This window comes from Homo sapiens, chromosome 17 (assembly GCF_000001405.40).
Source record: "Homo sapiens chromosome 17, GRCh38.p14 Primary Assembly".
Lineage (NCBI taxonomy): Eukaryota > Metazoa > Chordata > Mammalia > Primates > Hominidae > Homo > Homo sapiens.
Window position 1 is genome coordinate 78,836,764 of NC_000017.11, and position 21,984 is coordinate 78,858,747.

General features: G+C 49.9%; 2 protein-coding genes, 1 long non-coding RNA gene and 1 pseudogene across 32 annotated transcripts in view, besides 5 other annotated features; 1 reads left to right on the top strand and 3 right to left on the bottom strand.

Moving 5' to 3' along the window:
* Positions 1-4,676, bottom strand: part of USP36 (ubiquitin specific peptidase 36) — a 54,059-nt gene extending 49,383 nt beyond the window's left edge. For 20 of the 30 annotated variants that reach the window (NR_169582.1, NR_169584.1, NR_169585.1 and 17 more), the window contains exons 1-2: positions 3,973-4,051; positions 1,824-1,987 (exon numbers count right to left, since the gene is read on the bottom strand). The gene's annotated coding sequence lies outside the window, so the exon portion shown is untranslated. Of the gene's footprint in view, positions 1-133; positions 309-1,823; positions 1,988-3,075; positions 3,248-3,515; positions 4,052-4,497 lie in introns of those variants that run through there. The other 10 variants (XM_047436470.1, XM_047436469.1, XM_024450845.2 and 7 more) reach the window with 7 other exon arrangements.
* Positions 1,505-2,019: an enhancer, noted in NCBI's record as "H3K4me1 hESC enhancer chr17:76834350-76834864 (GRCh37/hg19 assembly coordinates)". NCBI's record gives its function as "activates a minimal SCP1, AML or CMV promoter by ChIP-STARR-seq in naive H9 embryonic stem cells {active_cell/tissue: H9 hESC(naive)}" and the evidence as "EXISTENCE:reporter gene assay evidence [ECO:0000049][PMID:30033119]".
* Positions 2,020-2,534: an enhancer, noted in NCBI's record as "H3K4me1 hESC enhancer chr17:76834865-76835379 (GRCh37/hg19 assembly coordinates)". NCBI's record gives its function as "activates a minimal SCP1, AML or CMV promoter by ChIP-STARR-seq in naive H9 embryonic stem cells {active_cell/tissue: H9 hESC(naive)}" and the evidence as "EXISTENCE:reporter gene assay evidence [ECO:0000049][PMID:30033119]".
* Positions 3,459-3,978: a silencer, noted in NCBI's record as "silent region_9074". NCBI's record gives its function as "represses an Ori minimal core promoter by ATAC-STARR-seq in GM12878 lymphoblastoid cells {active_cell/tissue: GM12878}" and the evidence as "EXISTENCE:reporter gene assay evidence [ECO:0000049][PMID:35858748]".
* Positions 4,129-4,318: an enhancer, noted in NCBI's record as "active region_12913". NCBI's record gives its function as "activates an Ori minimal core promoter by ATAC-STARR-seq in GM12878 lymphoblastoid cells {active_cell/tissue: GM12878}" and the evidence as "EXISTENCE:reporter gene assay evidence [ECO:0000049][PMID:35858748]".
* On the top strand, positions 4,351-10,029 carry LOC124904067 (uncharacterized). Its single transcript, XR_007065923.1, has 2 exons — positions 4,351-8,636; positions 9,097-10,029. It is a non-coding gene; the product is annotated as an uncharacterized LOC124904067 (long non-coding RNA).
* Positions 4,439-4,538: a silencer, noted in NCBI's record as "silent region_9075". NCBI's record gives its function as "represses an Ori minimal core promoter by ATAC-STARR-seq in GM12878 lymphoblastoid cells {active_cell/tissue: GM12878}" and the evidence as "EXISTENCE:reporter gene assay evidence [ECO:0000049][PMID:35858748]".
* On the bottom strand, positions 9,084-9,674 carry RPL9P29 (ribosomal protein L9 pseudogene 29; annotated as a pseudogene).
* Positions 10,030-16,213: 6,184 nt separating the features above from the next.
* TIMP2 (TIMP metallopeptidase inhibitor 2) overlaps positions 16,214-21,984 on the bottom strand; it is a 72,411-nt gene continuing 66,640 nt past the window's right edge. The window contains exons 4-5 of the mRNA NM_003255.5: positions 20,759-20,883; positions 16,214-19,101 (exon numbers count right to left, since the gene is read on the bottom strand). Of these exons, the coding sequence (NP_003246.1) occupies positions 18,904-19,101; positions 20,759-20,883 (323 nt within the window). The 3' untranslated portion in view covers positions 16,214-18,903. The remainder of the gene's footprint in view (positions 19,102-20,758; positions 20,884-21,984) is intronic.

Sequence of the window (21,984 nt, forward strand, 5' to 3'; positions counted from 1 at the left end):
TAATTCTCACATACAAACTGGTTATACACACACGGACACACACACACACACACACAAACGGACACACACACACACACCCACGCAATAAATGAATTAGCATGCAGGTCAGATGAGCATGCATGTCTGTACAGACCTGCACTCTTCAATATGAAGGCCACAGGCCACACGTGGCTACTGAGCATGTGAAATGAGGCTAGTCCAGGTTGAGAGGTGCTATAAGTGTAAAATGCACACCAGATTTTGAAGAGAAATACTCACTAGTATAAGAAGAGAATGTAAAACATCCCAGTAATTTTTAGATCAGTTACCTGTTGAAATGGTAATATTTTATATATATTGAGTTAAATAAATTATGAAAATGAATTTCACCTGCTTCTTTTTAATGTGGCTACTATAAAATTTTAAATTATATTTGTGGCTTGTATTAATCTCCATTACACAGTGCTTGGAGTACAAATTATCTTTTTAAAAGTGAGGAAGGAGAAGAAAAGCAAGTAGCAGGCCTAGAGACTAGTATCCATTAGACACCTAAACTTAAACAAATGTCTTCCCAGGACTCTTATCAAAAGAGAAGAAGAAAAGCCAAGCAGGAGAGTGGGGAGATCACAGGCTTTGGAATGTGGTGGCCCCGGGAGGTTCTATCATCCTTAGCTATGAAACCCAGGGACAACTACTATGACTTCTCCAAACCCCCTATTCTACTGTAAAATAGCAACAAAAATAATAGGCTTGGGAAGTGCTTTAGAGCTTGCTACATACTACAGTCCCTAACAGAGGATCGATACTGTTGGTGCAGCTGCATGGAAACTGTAACCAAGAAGAGACCCCTGCACCTCTCCAATCGCTACCTTTGTATCCACCACTTGCCCTCCCCTACCCACCACCTCTCAACTTAACCTTCCCAAACACAGCACAGACTATCTGAGTCACAATTTCAAAAATATGTCCCTTAAATTGCTCACTCACATCAGAAAAATGATGACTTCCTCTGGTATTCAGTACCCAGCCTGCCCTCAGAGAATCAACAAGTCAAGTGTGCCCCAAAATTCTGCTCTAGTGAAAGTAAGGACTTCCTCCAGCACCTCATATTAAGCCATTCAAATTTATCACTGTGGATCATCTAATTCTATACATGGATCAAGTATCTTTTTCTACAAAAACTTCTGTAAAGAAAAGCCAGGTGCAGTGGCCTGGGCCTGTCGTCCCAGATGCTTGGGAGGCTGAGGTGGGAGGATAACTTGAGGGCAGGAGCCTGAGGCTGCAGTGAGCTATGATTACGCCTGTGAATAGCCAGTGCAGTCCAGCCTGGGCAACATCGTGAGACCCCATCTTTAAAACAAAAAAAATCGTGGCTCACGCCTGTAATCCCAGCACTTGGGAGGCCGAGACGGGTGGATCAGGAGGTCAGGAATTCAAGACCAGCCTGGCGAAGATGTTTCTCTACTAAAAATACAAAAAAACTAGCCAGGCATGGTGGCAGGCGCCTGTAATCCCAGCTACGCAGGAGGCTGAGGCAGAGAATTGCTTGAACACGGGAGGCAGAGGTTGGAGTGAGCCGAGATCGCGCCACTGCACTCCAGCCTGGGCAACAGAGCAAGACTTGGTCTCAAAAAAAAAAAAAAACAAAAAACAAAAAACTTCTGTAAAGAAATTTCAGAAGCTTATTTAAAAAAAAGCATTATAAGTTGTCTGATTTGAGAAAATAAAAGAGCCTTTTCTCATGAGAATTATCAAAGACTTCTCACCAACTGAACAATCACTGCTGCGTCACATGCAGACAATTCAACGGAATCAAAAAATACACAGAAGCCTCGCAGACTCACCTGGGATGTGCAGACTTGGGCCTGCTGTCCTACTGCGGCATGGAACCAGGATCTTAACGGAGGGCTGAGTTTGGTTGGGCAGGTGCTACGCGGAGCTCCTGAATGTAAGCGCTCCTGGACTGTGGCCTGTTCAAACACCGAAGCCGCAGAGCGGGCGTCAGAGCCTGTGGGAGGGACAGGGAGACCATCAGTGGAGGCGACTCTTCCTGTGCCTTCTCTTCAGCTACTTCCCAGGGATGCGGCGCGCACCGGGAACCCTCTACCACGAAAAAGCCGTCCAAGGAGCATCCACGCGTGCACTCAGGATGAGGCGGGTGGACCGTACTACCTCATCACCAGTTGTTGTAATGCACACGATATGAACACCTTAACCTTGACCCCAGACAAGCCCAGAGAAGGAAAACCTCCCCAACACCTGCCAGTCAGCTCCAGTCTAATCTTATTTCCAAAGAGTAAGAGGTAATAAATCCCCAAGTTTTGGATTTAATGAACCAGTAAAACTTCAATAACAACAACAACAAACCTCAGGGAGTAATAGGAGTTGCCAAAATTTTGCTTTGCTAAGTGTGGATTTTCTCTTTCATTACCATCTACGATCACTATGATTACATAAAATTAAGGTTCGTAAAAACAGTTTACAGTGAAAACATTCAAACACACAGATGGAGAACCGCACAGGGAGCACATGAGCCCCCCTTATTCAGCCTCAGTAACTACATCTGACCCATCCTGAGTCACTTCCCATCCCCAGGTAATTCTACAGCAAATCTCAGACCTATGACTTCATCCATAAATAAAAGCATACCAACTCCCGAAAAATGTGTAAGGAAATGATCTCAGAATAAAAGCCATCTACAAAGTGAAGACATCCAGTCGTATTAAAAACTCCCCACAATATCACTGCTTTCGGTTAGGACTCACATCTACCCTGGAAGGTGAGAACTCTGTCATGCACAACCAACGCTTGAGAACCACTTAGGGAGGGGATAAACGAACCTTGGGAGATGTAACCCAGTTTCACTCGAGATAAGTAACTTTGAACTTAACCCACTCCTTAATGTAGATGCAGAGATTTTGAACACAATTTTTCAAGTGGGACAGGTCAATCTCTACTTCACCAATTCCACCTAAAACATTAAGCAATAACCTAAACAACGCTCGCTCGCTCTCTGACGTGTAGGAGCCCGAGACAAGTGTTCCTGTAATCACTAGCAATCCCTCCGACGCACACACCATCCACACTCTACCCAACTCAGGAAGGATGCTCTCTCTTGTCCAAGGACAGCACAGGCCTCATCCACATTTCCACCTGCGCGAACCCCAGCCAGCACCATTTAGGCTCATTCCCGCTCCCTCCTCCTTCTAAAGTCACTTTTCCAGGATGAACTGCAACGGACGCTCGCAGGGTCAACCACGTGCTGGGGAGAGGAGCCCACGGAAGCAGCGGCCTCCCGGGGCCCAGCGCCGCGCTCCAGGGGCCTCCCGGGCGACTCCGCAGCGCCTGCCCCGAGCCCGGCCGCGGACACAGCGACCCGAGCACCTCTCCCCGAGCATGGCTCCGTGGCGAGCGTTACGTAAACGGGGGCGCGCGGAGTCTCCCCTCTCGTGTGTCTGGGTTTGGCGGCCGCCACTCCAGCCCCAGGCCCAGGACCCCCACGCCACCCGCCAGAAGCAGCAGCATCGGAACCGCACCCCGCCCCGGGCTCCATGGCCTCCTCCGCAACCACGAGGAAGGTGCCCGCCCCGGGGCCGCACCCGCCCCGCTGAGCTCTGCGGCCGCACGCGACGCCCTCGCCCTGATTCCGACTTCAACCTCTCCGAAGTTGACCTGAATCCTGCACAGACAGCGGGCCCCGGCGACCCCCATCACCGGCCCGGAGCCCGGGGGACGGCGGAGACCGGCGAGGACAGCCCGGCCCCGGACCCTCCTCGGGAATACCCGGGCTCTGGAGAAGCGAGCTCGCGAGCGGGCGGAGCATCCCGGGTCCTCCTCGGGGACGGCCGAAGCCCTGCGCGGACCCGCGCCCACGTTCTCCCTGAGCGTCCCGGCTGCGCCCGCCAGCCCTTCCCGCGCCCCAGGCCTCGCGGAACCCCCCGCCCCGGTCTCGTCCCCAGGCCTGCGCACCGCCCCGACCCGACCCCAGCCTACCCCGGCCTCTCCGCGGGCGCGCCACAAGCCTACGCAGCCCTGGCGACTCCTTCGGCCCGCGGCCCAGCACGCGCACCATCCGGGCCTCCGGCGCCTCACACACGTGTCACCGCGACGCTTAAAGGCGCCGCACCCAGCGTTCGCGCTGCGCTAACTCCGAAAGGGTTGGGAGGCTTTAAGAGGCGGGGCTAGATTCCGCTAACTCCCTGTCCCCGCCCACCGCCGCTTCCGTGTCGCCTACGTCACCTCCCCATCACGGGACCCCGCCAGCCTACGTGATGACGCAAGTGCGCAGAGCCACAGGCGCTCCCGCCCCTGTGCCGCGGCAGGGTGACGTCTCCGCAGCGCACTAGAGGTGCCGCTACTTCCGGGTCGGCCGAGCACACCTGGCGGCGTGGCGGACGCCTGAAGTGTGACAGTGGCGCGCGCCCCCGCCCCAGAACGGGGACTCGAGGGACTTTGCCCACCCCTGCAACAGCCCTCCCGCGCTGTCTCCCGGGCAGGGAGAAGGCTGGGCTCCCCCACCTGCCCCTGGCCGTCAGGTGGCTGTGGAGAAGCGGAGGCGCGGGCGCTCGGCCTTAACGTCCCGGGCTCTGGGGCCATCCGTGACTCCCACACGCGGAGCACCTGCAGTTTGGGGAGGGAGGGATCTGGGAGCGATCGGCCAAAGCCTGGGGCTGCCGAGGAAATGGCTCTTCGGAATTAGGGATCTGAGAGTGTGAGATTTGACCTTTGTAGGCTGGTGGCGGCTGTGCAATCTCTAGCTCCACCCACTCCCTCCAAAAGCTTTGTCCTCTGACAGCTCTGCGAAGGTTTTAGCTGAGTATTTGTGAGCACGTATTTCTTTTGCAGTATTTTTAAAAATCCTCTTGATCTGAGGCAACTTCGCTGGCTTCCTCCCCATTCCCTTGGGCAGGTTGAGAGTGTTGGTTCCTGGCCTGACCTCAGAAACTCAGAGAAGCACAGGATGGGCATAAACTACTTTATCCAAAAGGCAGAACTTTGCAAACACAGTCGTATCTGCTGTGTCTTTTTTGATGTAAGTAGGAATGATGAGTAGGGTGAAGTCACAGGTAAACAACCCAAAACGAATTTCCATGCCCTCCCCACGGATCCTAAAGCAGGGACTGGAGATGGGGAGAGAGGCTAGATGTACTTGGAACAAAATTCACCTTGTATTTATTACCTGGGCGCTGGTGTTTTTTGAAAAAAGCAAACAAGATAACCATATTAGTCTGATGCTGAGACTATGCCCTATCTGTAAGAATCCTTGGGCTGGGCGCGGTGGCTCACCCTTGTAATCCCAACACTTGGAGGCCAAGGTGGGCGGATCACCTGAGGTCAGGAGTTCGAGACCAGCATGGCCAACATGGTGAAACCCCGTCTCTACTAAACATACAAAAATTAGCTGGGTGTGGTGGTGGGCGCCTGTAATCCCAGCTACTCAGGAGGCTGAGGCACGAGAATCCCTTGAACCTAGGAGGCGGAGGTTGCAGCGAGCTGAGATGTCGCCACTGCACTCCAGCCTGGGCGACAGAGCGAGACTCCGTCTCAAAAGAAAAGAAAAGAAAAGAAAAAAAGGCAGGGCACAGTGGCTCACGCCTGTAATCCTAGCACTTTGGGAGGCCGAGGCAGGCAGATCGCTTGAGGTCAGGAATTCCAGACCAGCCTGGCCAACATGGTGAAAACCTGTCTCTACTAAAAATACAAAAATTAGCTGGGTATGGTGGCGCACGCCTGTAATCCGAGCTACTAGGGAGGCTGAGACAGGAGAATCGCTTGTACCTGGGAGGTGGAGGTTGCAATGAGCTGAGATCGTGCCATTGCACTCCAGCAGCCTGGACAACAGAGCAATACTTGGTCTAAAAAAAAAAAAAAGAAAGAAATGCAACGTAGGTCTCTCACGAAATTAGCCCAAATCTTCAGCCATCTTCTACAGGCTGTGAAACCAGGAGAGGAATTGAGTCCATCTTACCTTGACCTCCCAGGCAGGGAGCGGACCAGGTAATTTTTGGGTGACAATACAACTATTCTGTTAATGCACCTTTTTCTTGAGGTAAGTTCTAATGTGATCCGTTTTGGTTACAGCTTTCTATAACAGAATATTTTATTCTTTCATCTTTAATGTTTCTCTAGTTTTCTCTTTTAGGATTTAGAGATCATTCAGTCTCATCTCAAATATTTCAATTTCCATGTGGTTCTTTCATAAACATTTATCCACAGTGAGCCTGCCCTGCATTCTTTGGGTGTGGCTGACAGTTGCAGCCACCCTCAGGTCTGCGGGGGTGGGTGTGTTGCCCCTGAACTGCAATAGCAGAATTTCTCCCTAGCCTGGCAGGGGAGTGCAATCGTGGACTTGCTTTTCCACCCGCTGGGGTTGCATTTCATAGGTGCCGAGTGCCTGGGGGGCCCAGGCCTTTTCACATGAGGGTTTTCAGCCCAGATGTCCCTCCTGCTCTAGGGGAACCCTTCACATCAGTCAGGTGACTTGCTGGACTGGTAGAGCCTCTGCCATCAGCCTCTGATGCAAAACCTTTTCTCAGGTGTCTGTGCGGTCCATGGAGACCCGAGTTCCCAGGTTTGGGAGGGATGCCACTTTCCTTAGGAAGAACAGCAATGTATGTCGTCCTTCCCATCCATGCAGATGGGACAGGGCTCTCAGGAAATCTGCCATTAGCATCGCCCTAGAAGATGCACAGGCAGAGGCAGCTGCTGGGCACAGGCACTTGGGGAAGACAGGAGCCATGACGCCACGCCACCTGTTGGTACCCAAAGGAAGTGGCTCTTTTGGCTGCTTGGCACCATTCTTATGACCCTTCCATTTTGTTTCTAGTCTCAGAAGGGGTGGAGAAAGTCATCCTTCCTAAATGGTGTTGACTCTCAGACATCTGACCGTGCCAGGAGAATGGCTGTGCAAGGCGGCAGCCCAGGCCCGGGCAGGTGGCGGCCAGGAGTTGGGACCACAGAGGGCACTAGCAAGAGCAGCAGCTGCTCCGAGATGCTTTGGCACAAGTCAGGATACGTATTTTGTAGTTTTCTCTTGTTTTTTATTTTTCTGAGGTGGAGTCTCACTCTGTCGCCCAGGCTGGAGTGCAGTGGTGCAATCTCAGCTCACTGCAAGCTCCGCCTCCCGGGTTCAAGCGATTATCGTGTCTCGGCCTCCAGAGTAGCTGGGATCACAGGTGCACGCCACCACACCCAGCTGATTTTTGTATTTTTAGTAGAGATGGGGTTTCGCCATGTTTGGTCTTGAACTCTTGGCCTCAGGTGATCTGCCCCCCTCAGCCTCCCAGAGTGCAAGGATTACAGGCGTGAGCCACCGCACCCCACCTCCCGGCCTTTTCTCTTGTTTCATTTTGGTAAACTAAATTAGTTTAATACCTCTACCCCATCGGTGGTTGGAATTCCCCACCTCAATCATTTTGGGGGCTCTCTGCCTCCTTTGAATAGGACAGATCTCCAGGGGTTTACCCAGGCTCCGAAGAGCCACTCCAGGCAGCCGGCTGTTTGGGGAGGTGCACCCTGGTCTTCTAGTCTGCGGATTCCCTGCATCGCTCCCCTGGTACTGCTCTCAAGCTCAAGGGTCACCTCAGCCAGATGTGCCCTAGGCTGGCAGAGGTCCTTCCCCTAAATGCAGCTGGGCAGGATGCCACCCTTTCTACAATAAGTTCGGTCCCAGGGATTCCCCCAACACACACACACATACATTCTCTCTTACTCACATCCTCACACACACTCACACACCCCACCACACTCACACACTTTCAAAATCCACCGACTCTCACGCTCACACTCGCCAGCCCTTTCCCTTGCTCTGTCACTTCCCTCCAAGTCCCCGCCCCACACAGCCTCCTGCAGTCCCAGCCCCCTTGGTGCCAGCCATCTCTGGTGCCAGCCATCTCCCCCAAATATCCACCCTTCTGGGCTCCTTTCTGCCCAGAGGGACCTGAAGTTTCCCTAGGAAGCACTTGCTAAAGGCCTCCAGTCTCCAACTCCTGGGGAAGAAGGATCCAGGCCTCTGCCGCACAAAGCCTCCACTGTTCTCTTGGGGCTGGCACCCCTTCCTGTGGCCCTGTGGCACCAAACAAATTGATTCATCCAGCGAATATTTCTTATTTACTCTGTTCCACATGGTGGTGAGTGAATCAACCCTGGACTCTCCCCACAAAGGACTTAAGAACACGCAGGTCATGAACAAATGAACACTTTTGCATAATTTTTATGACCAACGGTGACCAGGCCAAGAGCAGGATGAGGTGATGGAGAATACCTTGGCCTGGGGCATCGGAGGAAACTCTTGCGAGGATGTGCTACCTCCGTTGAAAGTGGGAAGATGAGAGACCGGCTGTAAGAGGAGCAAGGGAAGGAGGTTCTGGAATGAGAGAACAGCACGAACAAAATGCCCGAGACAGGAGCGAGCTTGGCACCTTCAAGAAAATAAAGAGGAGAATCACTGAACCTGGCACGTGGAGGTTGCAATGAGCTGAGATCGCGCCACTGCACTCCAGCCTGCGAGACAGAGCGAGACTCCATCTCAAAAAAAAAAAAAAAAAAAAAAAGGAAAGAAAAGGAGGCCATTGGGATGGCTGAGGCTGGAAGGGTGGACCAGGTGCCCCACAGGCAAGAGGTCCCAACTATAGATGAAGCACGCAGGCTACAGACAGGTGAGTGGTGCCTCGGGTGAGAGGCAAGTTTGTCTCCATAGGTCATCCTGCTACACGGAATTCTCCAGAATCCCCTGCAAAGGTGTAGATGGGCTGGGTGCAGTAGCTCATGCCTCTAATCCCAGCACTTTGGGAGGTCGAGTCGGGCGGATCACCTTGAGGTCAGAAGTTCAAGACCAGCCTGACTAACATGGTGAAACCCTGTCTCAACTAGAATACAAAAATTAGCTGGGCATGGTGGCATTTGCCTGTAGTCCCATCTACTCAGGAGGCTGAGGCAGGAGAATTGCTTGAACCCGGGAGGTGGAGGTTGCAGTGAGCCGAGATCGCGCCACCGCACTCCAGCCTTGGTGACAGAGCGAGACTCTGTCTCAAAAAAAAAAAAAAAAAAAAAGGTGTAGATGGCTTATGCTTTGTGATTTTCAATGTGACTTGTTTTTATTTTTTTCCAAATCTATAGGTCTTTTATTGAATCATCTAAATATCACAGATACTTAGGTCTGAGGAGTCATCCAACATCGTGTTTCTGTAGCTGGACAACTCTTAGAACCTCCTCAGCAGCCTGCGGAACTGTTCCTTTTTAGGAGACGTAGACAGCACCCCAACATTTTCTGATATCCTTGTTTTTAACTATTGCTGCTTGCTGAATCAGAGCAGCTGAATTTGAACAAGACTGAAACAAGCTCAATGTCGCTTCCTTCAAAGATTAATTCGACATTCTGGGCTTGAGATACTGAATAAGCAACACCTGGCCTCATCCGAACCCTGCAGATGGATTTTCCACCCAAGATGTTTCAGATTTCAACGAGAGTCCCGTTCTCCTGGATAACGACGTTTCTGGGGAAGTGAGCACCCACAGAGGTCATCTTGTAATGGAACCCAGGGCAACCCCTTTGACCATGCTCCGTACACGACTATGAACAGTCCCAACGGCAGCCGGCTCCCTTCAGTTTCCCCACCGTTTGTCAACCCGGAGCCTCTTTTCCTTTCCAAGGAGACTGAGTTCTACATTGATGTGATTGAAGTCTCTCCTCAAGGCTGTGTGCAGTGGCTCACACCTGTAATCCCAACACTTTGGGAGGCAGAGGCAGGCGGATCACTTGAGGCCAGGAGTTTGAGAGCAGCCTGGCCAACATGGTGAAACCATGTCTCTACTAAAAATACAAAAATTAGCCAGGCGTGGTGGCACATGCCTGTAGTCTCAGCTACTAGGGAGGCTGAGGCAGGAAAATTGCTTGAACCCAGGAGGCGGAGGTTGCAGTGAGCCAAGATCGCACCACTGCACTCCAGCCTGGGCGACAGGGCAAGACCCTGTCTCAAAAAAATAAAATAAATAAATAAATAAATAAATAAATAAAGTCCTTCCTCAGGGTTCCTCTCAGGCCCTTCCCAATAACTGTGTGTTCCTTTAGAGTAATGTTGACCTTTTCTGGAATATCCATGGGTTGGTTGCTGGGAACGGTCTTCATTCTCACAGTAGATGCGGCAAAGACAGCAGTTTTACTTTTTTAATATAACTTCCAGGCATCTTAACCTTGGAATTTTGAACATACTAGGACGTGTCTTTCCATGAATATTGTAAATTGTCAGGCTGGTCTAACAAGGCGGTTTTGGAATTCCACTTTGGGAGGTGTAGGAAGAATAACTTTAGAGCGGACCAACCCTCAGACACTGCTGGTAGGCATGTAAAATGGTGCAGTCACTGCAGAAAACAGGACAGTGCTTCCTCCAAAAGCGAAACATAGGACTACTATACATACTATCTATACATACTATATAAACTGTATATATACACTATGTATACAGTATAGACATAGTATATATGTCTACACTATATACATAGTATATACACATAGTATATACACATAGTATATATACATAGTATATACCCAGTATATATACATAGTATATACACAGTATATATACATAGTATATACACAGTATATATACATAGTATATACATATAGATATACGTATATACTATGTATGTAGATATAGATACTATCTATATATATATTATGCTTCCAGACTTAATTATTGCAATACAATTTTTTGTGTACTATTATGTATAATTATATTGTAATTTTATTATTTATTTATTTTTGAGACGGAGTCTTGCTCTGTCACCCAGTCTGGAGTGCAGTGGTGCCATCTCAGCTCACTGCAACCTCTGTCTCCCGGATTCAAGGGATTCTTCTGCCTCAGCCTCCCGAGTAGCTATTACAGGTGTCGCGCCACCATGCCCGGCTAGTTTTTTGTATTTTTAGTAGAGATGCGATTTCACCATGTTGGCCAGGCTGGTCTTGAACCCCTGACCTCAGGTGATCCACCCTCCTTGGCCCCTCAAAGTGCTGGGATTCCAGGCGTGAGCCACCGCGCCTGGACTGTATTGCAATAATTATACATAATACTACATATATACAAATATACATAATATTGTGTATATACATATATACTGTATATATAGATATATAAATATATAGTAGTTTAGATATATGTATGCTGAATCAGAGAAGCTGAATTTGAAACAAGCTTAATGTCCTTTCCTTCAAAGATTAATGTTGTATTAATGTAGGTTAATGTTGAATATACATATATGGCTCTATATATCTATAGTAGATATATATCTACATATATCTATAGTGTATAGATATCTATATACATATACTAAGTGTGTGTGTATATATACGCCAATTAAAAGCAGGGACACAGATATTTGCACACCCATGTTCATAGCCACATTCTTCACAATAGCCAAAAGGCGGAAGCAACCCAAGTGTCTACTGATGGATGAATGGATAAACAAAATGTAATAGATGCACACAATGGAATATTAGCCATGAAAAAGAAGGAAGCATGGATCCATGCTATAATACCAATGGACCTTGAAGACGTGCAAAGTGAGCTGGACATAACATAGGTGGAATCATGCAGGATGATAGAATATTTAGAATAGGAAAATCCATAGAGACAGAAAGTAGACTAGAGGTTACCAGGGGCTAGGAGGAGGAGGACGGGGGTTATTGCATCATGGTTACAGAGTTTCTGGGTGGTGGTGAAAAAGTTTTGGAAATAGTGGTGATGGCCATAAAAACATTGTAAGTGTAATTAACTGAATTGTACACTTAAAAATGGTTAGAAGGTGGCCAGGAGCGGTGGCTCATGCCTGTAATCCCAGCACTTTGGGAGGCTGAGAGGGCAGATCATGAGGTCAAGAGATCGAGATCATCCTGGCCAACATGGTGAAACCCCGTGTCTACTAAAAATACAAAACTTAGCTGGGTGTGGTGGCAGGTGCCTGTAGTCCCAGCTACTCGGGAGGCTGTGGCATGAGAATCGCTTGAACCCCAGAGTGGAGATTGCAGTAAGCCAAGATTGTGCCACTGCACTCCAGCCTGGGTGACAGAGCGAGACTGTCTCAAAAAAAAAAAAAAGAAAAAAAATCTATAGTCACAGCAAATTGCCTATCATAAAATTGATGCTAGTAAAATATTGTAATTCCACTGTTTGGATTTAATTATTTTTTAAAGTTAGATCAGGTAAAAATATCCATTAAAAATTAGGAGGGAAAAGATACTGCTACTGTGTGTCCTATAACTAGGCTCAAGTTCTTCCATCAGCTCCAAAGTATTTTATTTTTATTTATTTATTTTTTTGAGATCGAGTCTCGCTCTGCCACCCAGGCTGGAATACAGTGGCTCCATCTTGGCTCATTGCAACCTCCACCTCTGGGGTTCAAGTGATTCTTCTGGCTCGGCCTCCCAAGTGGCTGGGATTACAGGCAGGAGTCACCGCACCCGGCCAGCTCCAAAGTTCTTTAACCAGTCCTGGTGGCTCCCCAGCTCCACCACCAGGCTCCATGTCCCTTCAGATTGGATCTTGCAGGGTCTCTTGCTGCTTTTCCATCATGGGTGCACACATCTCTGTTGATGGGTTGAGGCTGACCTCACCTGTCCCCATGCATTTTTCTTCCACAGGGTAAACAAGACTGAGAGGAAATAATGGTGTCTAGTTGTGTCCCTAACAATGTCGTTACCCCATATGTGAGTCTACAAACTGATTTTTTCTTTTTCTTTTTTTTTTGAGACAGAGTCTTGCTCTGTTGCCCAGGCTGGAGTGCAGTGGTGCGATCTCAGCTCACCGCAATCTCTGCTGCCTGGGTTCAAGCAATTCTCCTGCCTCAGCCTCCTGAGTAGCTGGGACTACAGGCGTGCACCAGCATGCCCAGTTAATTTTTTTGTTTTGTTTTGTTTTGCTTTTGAGATGGAGTCTCGCTCTGTCGCCCAGGCTGGAGCGCAATGGCATGATCTCGGCTCACTGCAACCTCCGCCTCCCGGGTTCAAGCGATTCTGTATCAGCCTCCCGAGTACCTGGGATTACAGGCGCCCACCACTGTACCTGGCTAATTTTTGTATTTTTAGTAGAGACGGGGTTTCACCACCTTGGCCAGGGTGGTTTTGAACGCCTGACCTCAGGTGATCTGCCTGCCTCGGCCTCCCAAAGTGCTGGGATTACAGGTGTGAGCCACCGTGCCAGGCCTAATTTTTGTATTTTTAGTAGACACGGGATTTCGCCATTTTGGCCAGGCTGGTCTCGAACTCCTGAACTCAGGTGATCCTCCCGCCTTGCCCTCCCAAAGTGCTGGGATTACAGGTGTAAGCCATGGCGCCCGGCCTACAAACTAATCTTAAATCGTTTTCAAAGATCAGCAAAACATGGATAATTGTTGAAAACAGATCATAGACACATGGAGTTGGTCATACCATTCTCTGCATTTTTGTATATGTTTTAAATTTTCCATAATGACTTTAAGTTTGACTTAAATGCATAAATATATGAAAAGGGTATAAATCACCTGGCGTGCTGCTTACTAAAACTCCAAATGTGGGCTGCAAATGCCAAGTAAGTTCATTTGTATGAAATGGAAAGTTTTGATATTATTATTATAGTATACCACTCAACCATTTTCCCTACATATTTGGACATACAGAAGAAATAATCCAAATATTTCTGCAGTAGATATTAAGTGGATCACATTTAATGTGACATTGGAGCAAACTTCAGATGTCGTAAGTTTGTTCTTGCTTTTTGGGCAGTAACTGCACACAGTAGGAAACACGATTCTTCTGGCTGCCCCTGGAATAACAGATTCTGCACAACAGTGTGCACATGGGCCAGGGGGCAGCTAACTGTTCAAATACACCATTGAAGAATGTCCATGGCTGGGTGCAGTGGCTCAGGCCTGTAATCCCAGCACTTTGGGAGGCCGAGGCGGGCGGATCACAAGGTCAGGAGATCGAGACCATCCTGGCTAACATGGTGAAACCTCGTCTGTACTAAACATACAAAAAATTAGCCAGGCGTGGTGGCAGGTGCCTGTAGTCCCAGCTACTTGGGAGGCTGAGGCAGGAGAATGGTGTGAACCCGGGAGGTGGAGGTTGCAGTGAGCCGAGATCGCGCCACTGCACTCCAGCCTGGGCGACAGATCAAGACTCTGTCTCAAAAAAAATAAAATTAAATTAAAAAAAATTTCATATGGTGAAGTATTATGAGACTTTTGATTGAAGTTTGAATTATGATGGGAACATCTTTCTCAGCACAAGGATAGGGTGGGGGCAGGGAGAAACAACCTGGAGAATAAGAGAGACCCGGGAGGCCAAGCACTGTGGCTTACCGGAGGCCAACGTGGGCAGATCACTTGAGGCCAGGGGTGTGAGACCAGCCTAGCCAACACGGTGAAACCCCGCCTCTACTAAAAATGCAAGAATTTGCCGGGCATGGTGGTGCCCACCTGTAATCTCAGCTACTCTCGAGGCAGAGGTTGCGTTGAGCTGAGATCACACCGCTGCACTCCAGACTGGGCAATGAGGCGAGACTCTGTCTGAAAAAAAAAAAAAAACAAAAAAAAAGAAAAGAAAAGAAAGAAAGAAGGGGGAGCTTCAATAGTTATTTAAAAAAAGAGAGAGAGAGAGAGACCTAGGAGTTAGATCAACCAACTGCAATGGATGGATCTTATTTGGGTCTTGATTCAAACCCATAAACCACGCAAAAGCATCTATGAGACAGTCAGAGATGTTAGAACACTGACTGGATATTTGATGACATTGATGAATTCTAAGTAAGTTTTTGACATGTGATAAAGCTATTTTGGATTTTGTCGTTGTTGTTGTTTGAGACAGGATCTCACTCTGTCACCCAGATTGGAGTGCAGTGGTGCGATCTCAGCTCACTGCAACCTCCACCTCCTGGGCTCAAGTGATCCTCCCACCTCAGCCCCCCGAGTAGCTGGGACTACAGGCATGCACCACCACACCCAGCTAATCTTTGTATTTTTTGTAGAGTTGGGGTTTCTCCATGTTGTCCAGGCTGGTCTTGAACTCCTGGGCTCAAGCAATCCGCCCACCTTGGCCTCCCAAAGTGCTAGGACTATAGGTGAGCCACCGTACCTGGCCTGGAAAAAGGTTTTAAAAGTAGTTTTTATTTTTTGGCTGGGCACGGTGGCTCACGCCTGTCATCCCAGCACTTTGGGAGGCCCAGGCGGGCGGATCACAAGGTCAGGAGTTCGAGACCAGCCTGACCAACATGGTGAAACCCTGTCTCTTTTTGTATTTTTGTAAAAATACAAAAATTAGCTGGGCGTTGTGGCGGACACCTGTAATCCCAGCTACTCAGGAGGTTGAGACAAGAGAATCACTTGAACCCAGGAGGCAGAGGTTGCAGTGAGCCAAGATCATGCCATTGCACTCCAGCCTGGGTAACAGAGCGAGACTCCGTCTGAAAAAAAAAAAAAGTAGTTTTTATTTTTTAAACATATGTGTACTGGAATATTTATAAATGAGACTGCTTCATGCCTGGAATTTTTTCTTCCAAATAATTTCGTGAATGGTGGGTGAAGACTGAGTGTAGGTCTAAAGCTGGCCATGAAGCCCTCAGTGTCGAAGCTGTGAGACGGGTGCATGGCTCTGCGTGTCTCTATAATAAAAAGCCAGAGGTATGTGTTGAATGAAGGGGACCCTCTCCTACACTTCTGCCCCTTCATCCACCTAAGGAAACCACATTTGCTTTTACCTGTCCCATCTCTGCTGCCCCGTCTCTGCCACTGCATCGCACTTTTCTTTTCTTTTTTCTTTTTTTTTTTTTTTGAGACAGGGTCTCACTCTCTTGCCCAGGCTGGAATGCAGTGGTGCAATTATAGCTCACTGCAACCTCTGCCTCCGAGGTTCAAGTAATCCTCCTATCTCAGCCTTTTGAATAGCTGGGACCACAGGTACATGCCACCACGCCTATTTTTTGCAGAGACAGGGTTTTGCGAAGTTGGCCAGGCTAGTCTCGAACTCCTGGGCACAAACAATCCACCCGCCTTGGCCTCCCAAAGTGCTGGGATGACAGGCGTGAGCCACCACACCTGGTCTGCATCCCATATTTGACTCAGAGCTCACTGGCCTTGTTTCTCTGGAGGACACAGGGCGCCCCCTCCCGCCGGACAGGAGAGGCTCCTTGCAGAGGCTGATTCCCATTCTTGAGCTAGGAAGTGGCCGTTCTGAACATCGGATACAGCCACACGGAGAGAGCCCACGTTCTCTTTGATAATACTGTTTATTGTCCACGGACCGAGCGATTGCTCAAGAATGATACAAAGCATCAGAGACATGCGCAGTCTGCTTGTCAACTTTCAACAACTCTTGTGTGTTCCCAGCACCGGAAGGTCTCAGACTTCATATTCCAGCATAAACACAGTGCTCCCCTCCCCCAAAAATCCAAACGGAAACAAAATCAACAGAGCTTTAAATTACGGCAGCAAGTCCAATATTTCTTAATACTTATCAAGCAAAGATTTGAAAATAACTACAATGTAAACTTTATTTTAAATATTTTGAGTTGCTTGCAGGATGAAAATAGGAGAAGAGAGCTGTGCTTAGAACATAACATATAAATTAAACGATGCCAAATGGAGAGCCTTCTTAAACTATATATATATTGCCACTATTTATTGTGAAGGTATTTGAGCGGCTTCCTCTGTCAGCTGCCACCCGGCTCTTCTTAACCTGTTTTGTTTTCTGCTCAGCACGGTTAAAAGACCAACGTGTGTGGATCAAATATAAAGGCCACACCTTTCAGACCGAACCTACTCAAAGATCCTTTACTTTGCAATAATTTGAACTGGAGAACCAAAGACGGGAGACGAATGAAAGCAAAGATGCTCAAAGAACCAAAGGAAAGACCTGAAGGAATCCACCTGCATAGGCCACGCGTTCCACTCTGGGTCAAATGCTTCCACGATGCAGAAACCTTTTTTTAAAAAAGTGCAAGTCTAATACCTACCAAGGGTAATAAAAAACACAGCACAGGAATGATTACAGCTGATGTCAAAAACAAACCAAAACATTAAAAAAACAATCAGCAGAAACAGGAGTAAATGTTACATATGATATCACCATACAGGAAGCGAACAGGGGTGGGGTGTTATATGGGTTGGAGGGGTCTGGTGGAGTTGTATATACTGAAATCACATGGACTGGTCCATTATGACATCTTACCAACTTTAGGTCACTGTACAGCATGAAAACGCCCGTGGGGCAGGGGCCGATTCCTGGATACCCTCCCAGTCTGCCCTAGAAAGGGAAGTCATCAAGATCTGTGCTGACCAGGTCCCGGTGGGCATGGGGGCTGCATGCCACTTGGGGGTCAGGAGTCTTAACAGGTGCTTTGGGGTTGCCGCTGAATAGAACAGGCTAAGGTGGCTTTGGAAGCATTTTGCAAGACCACGCCCAGGCCGCCAAGCTTCGGTTTCATTGCGTGTGTATGTTTACATAATGTGCCTGTATATCGTCAGTTTATCTTTACAACACAGGTGGGAGGAAACAAGAGATTCTCCTTATCATTACCGAGAAAGTTCTTCCTATCCTAACCCCCATATCACTGGCTTCAGGAAACCACACTGAGGGAACACATAGGTTCCCTAGTTCCCTAGGAAGTTTCTTAGCTAGGTAATCTTTGTCATTTAAGAAATACAAGCAGAAGTTGGTATATCTGCAACTCAGGTTCACCTATCATCTGAGAATTCACCTTTAGAAAAATAAGATGTCTCTTAAAACAGGCCATAGTGTCCTGGAGGCTGAGAAAGAAGTGAGTGTGTCACCAAAGCCACCTACCTCCAAAATCCTTCCCTTCCTAGGCTGGACTTCTTACTATGCTTAGCTGGCGTCACATGCAGAAAGCCCCGTGCAGAACGATGGCTGTCAGTCTTTGAGGGAGGGAACACTAAGCCTGGGAGGGCACAGCAAGACCCAGCTTTTTCTGTCCTCAGGATGTGCAGATGGGGAGCCCAGCCGGGCCCTGCACACAAGCCCGGATAAAGCAAAGCTGTGCAACTCAATCCAGGTGCCTGATGCCAGAACAGGCAAGAAGCAATGGCAACCGCAGCAGCTAGGGAAGGGACCTTGAGGGCAGCCACCGGCCCCGGACAGCAGCCTCAGGACAGGACCTCACCGATTCCTCCTGCAAGCTGGGGAGCATGTGGGCGGGGGGGGGGGGGTGGGGGGGTGGGTGCAGACCAAAAAGACTCAGCTGAGGCTGGAACGCAGCTCAGCTGGGGTTTCTCGCTCCCATTTCTACAAGGCTCAGAGGGAGGCTCCCACTGGAATTCTGAGGATTAATAGGATTGATGGGGCTCCTTCAAGAACTAGCCACTGGTTCCAGGCTGCCCTTGGATGTGGGGGGAGTCAGGTGCTGGGAGCTCATGGTGGGCACCGGGGCGATGGGAGCACTTGCCAGGGGCAGGGAGTGCAGAGGCGTGGAAGCTGCAGAAAACAAGGGCCATGTCCCTCTCAAGATGAAAGGGACCTGGTAGGCCTGCTACACAGTCTTGCAACGACCCTCAAAAGTTTCTGCAAAATGCACATTTCCAGGCCCTGCCCTAACCCAGCTGGGAGATCCCTAAGTGCTGCCTGCTTGGCATCTGTGACGGTGCCAAGGCAGGGACTGGGAGGGAAGCCGCGTGTCCCAGCCCTGCCTGCACCCAAGGATCGAAGCCCCAGACACATAGTGCCTGGCAGAGGGAGGATGGGATGAGGACCTTGGACCCACGTCTCCCTCCAGACCCACAACCATGTCTAAAAGGAGAAGGGGGGAGCAGAATCATATTAATTTGGACCCATGGGATGAGTGTTTTATTCATGCTGTTTCCAGGAAGGGATGTCAGAGCTGGACCAGTCGAAACCCTTGGAGGCTTTTTTTGCAGTTGGCCACAGGGGCGTTGGAGGCCTGCTTATGGGTCCTCGATGTCGAGAAACTCCTGCTTGGGGGGCGCCGCGCCGCGGTACCACGCACAGGAGCCGTCACTTCTCTTGATGCAGGCGAAGAACTTGGCCTGGTGCCCGTTGATGTTCTTCTCTGTGACCCAGTCCATCCAGAGGCACTCGTCCGGGGAGGAGATGTAGCACGGGATCATGGGGCAGCGCGTGATCTGGGGAGGGGCACACGGAGGGGGACGGAGTCAGGGACCCAGGAAGGGGTGGGCAGAGGCTGCTCTGGGGGCATGTCCAGAACCCGGCAATGTGCCTACCTGTCATGTGCAGGGATGGCAGCCTCTCCCGAGACCCACGGTTCCTGCAGGGGCAGGCAGCTGGCCTGCGAGGGGGTCTAACCTGCAGGGAAGCTGTGCCCTGCCCACCGCTGCCCCCCCTCCTACTGCAGGTGTGCTTCCCTTTGGGCCATCTTCTACCTTCCTGAGCATGACAGAATGGCCTCAGCTTGGCCCTGCCCTCTGGGGGACACAGCAACAATAAAAGGGCCTGGGTTTCCTGGAGACAGATTCCAGCCCAGTGTTGCTCGCAAGCCGAGCCCCGAGGTCATCGGCAACTAGCAATTTGGCCAAGGAACCCTAGGCTACAAGAGGATGACCGCCTTCACCACCGTGGAAAGAAAAAGGAAAAACTTGCTTTTGATTTCATGCTGGGCACAGAGGAGTTTCGCTTAACATACGTGTGGCTGGAGACTATGAGTTCAGAATTCCTGTTTTGAACATGCGGAGAAGGGGCTGGGGGCCGTCAGGAGGGAGGGCAGCCCCAGGCAGCTCCCCAGGGAAGGCCAATCCCCACAGCCTCACCAGAGTCTCCTGGTCCCAGACTCACTGGGAGTGACCCAGGGTGGGAGGTGCCCAGCACTCAGCCATGCTTCCTGCAGGGAGGGTGGGGATAGGGTGCTAGGAGCCCACAGGGTAGGAGCCAGCCTGGGAGCCCTGGAGGCGGTAATCTCACCTTCCACAGCCACATCTAGGCGCTGCACTGCTCCAGCTGTGCCTGGCACAACCTCCGGGCTCATTTTAAGAGGAGCAGGTGTTCAGGTATTCTCAACACACAGACCCCACATAGACACCAACCCAGGTGTGAAAATGTCGGGAATGTTGGAAACAGCGTAAGGCCTGCAGTGCCTTCTCATAAGCCACACAGGCGTTTGCACTTGCACATTTGTAGAAAATTCTCCATGGGACCATATTCTCTCTCCCCATACAGCTCCTTTTTCTGGAAGCTACAGGTAACAGAGCTGAATTCATGCTCTTACTCTCAAATCTCCTAGCCTTCCAGACATCTCCCTCTTTTTTTTTTGGGACAGAGTCTCACTCTGTCAACCCAGGCTGGGGTGCAGTGGTGTGATCTCAACTCACTGCAACCTCCACCTCCCACATTCAAGCAATTCTTAAGCCTCATCCTCCCAAGTTGCTGGGATCACAGGCGTGCACCACCTCACCTGGCTAATTTTTGTATTTTTGTAGAGACAGGGTTTCGCCATGTTGGTGAGGCTGATTTCCAACTCCCGACCTCAAGTGACCCACCTATCTCGGCCTCCCAAAGTGCCGGGATTACAGGCGTGAGCCGCAGCGCCCGGCCTCCAGACATCCCCTGTCAGAGATGTGCCTCAGGGCTCTCCAGGGACCAGGGGTCAAAGGCTCTGTCCCCAGCCAGACAGCCTTACTCTTGGGATGACTCTACCTTCCCAGAGCCTGGTCTTAGATCAGGAGCCGGGGATTAACGGGTCCTGGAAAGCCAGGGATCAAAATCCCTGCCGTCCATCTGGAGACACTGGGAGGAGGCGATGCTCCAGCAGAGGCAGGACCTGCTTACCTTGCACTCGCAGCCCATCTGGTACCTGTGGTTCAGGCTCTTCTTCTGGGTGGTGCTCAGGGTGTCCCAGGGCACGATGAAGTCACAGAGGGTGATGTGCATCTTGCCGTCCCCCTCGGCCTTTCCTGCGGAGAGACGGGGATCACCGAGCTCAGGGAGAGGGAAAAGTCCTCCTCCTGCCCAGCTCCTCCACCCGGCGCAGGGGCGCTGGGATTTCGTTGCAACAATCCTGTGCACTGTCTATTCTGAGTTAAAACACAGTGGGTGGCCAGGCACGGTGGCTCACTCCTGTAATCCCAGCACTTTGGGAGGCTGAGGCGGGTGGATCTCTTGAGGCCAGGAGTTCAAGACCAGCCTGGCCAACGTGATGAAACCCCCTCTCTACTAAAATACAAAAAATTAGCCGGGTGTGGTGTCACACGCCTGTAATCCCAGCTACTTGGGAGGCTGAGGCAGGAGAATCGCTCTTGCACCCCAGAGGCGGAAGTTGCAGTGAGCCGAGATCGCGCCACTGAACTCCAGCCTGGGTGACACAGCAAGACTCCGTCTCAAAAAAATAAAAAGTGGAAAAAAAAAGAAAGCCATAATGCATGTTCACTGACAGAAACTTAAACATTGGAAACAAAGAAAAAACTTCCTGGCCAGGGGCGGTGGCTCATGCCTGTAATCCCAGCACTTTGGGAGGCCGCGGCAGGTGGATCACAAGGTCAGGAGATCGAGACCATCCTGGCTAACACGGTGAAACCCCCGTCTCTACTAAAAATACAAAAAATTAGCCAGGCGTGCTGGCGGGCACCTGTAGTCCCAGCTACTCAGGAGGCTGAGGTAGGAGAATGGCGTGAACCCGGGAGGCGGAGGTTGCAGTGAGCCGAGTTGGTGCCACTGCACTCCAGCCTGGGCCTGGGCGACAGAGCGAGACTCAGTCTAAAAAAAAAAAAGAAAAGAAAAAAATTCCCTACTTTCATTACCCACAGCTAATATTTTGATGTATTTCCTTCCAATATTCCACTATTGATTTTGAGACAGTCTTGCTCTGTCGCTCAGGCCAGAGTGCAATGGTATGATCATAGCTCACTGCAGCCTTGACCTCCCAAGCTCAAGCGATCCTCCCGTCTCAGTCTCCTGAATAGCTGGGACTATAGGTGTGAACCACTACACCCTGCTAATTTTTTATATTTTTTTTTGTAGAAACAGGGTCTTGCTATGTTACTCAGGCTGGTCTTAAA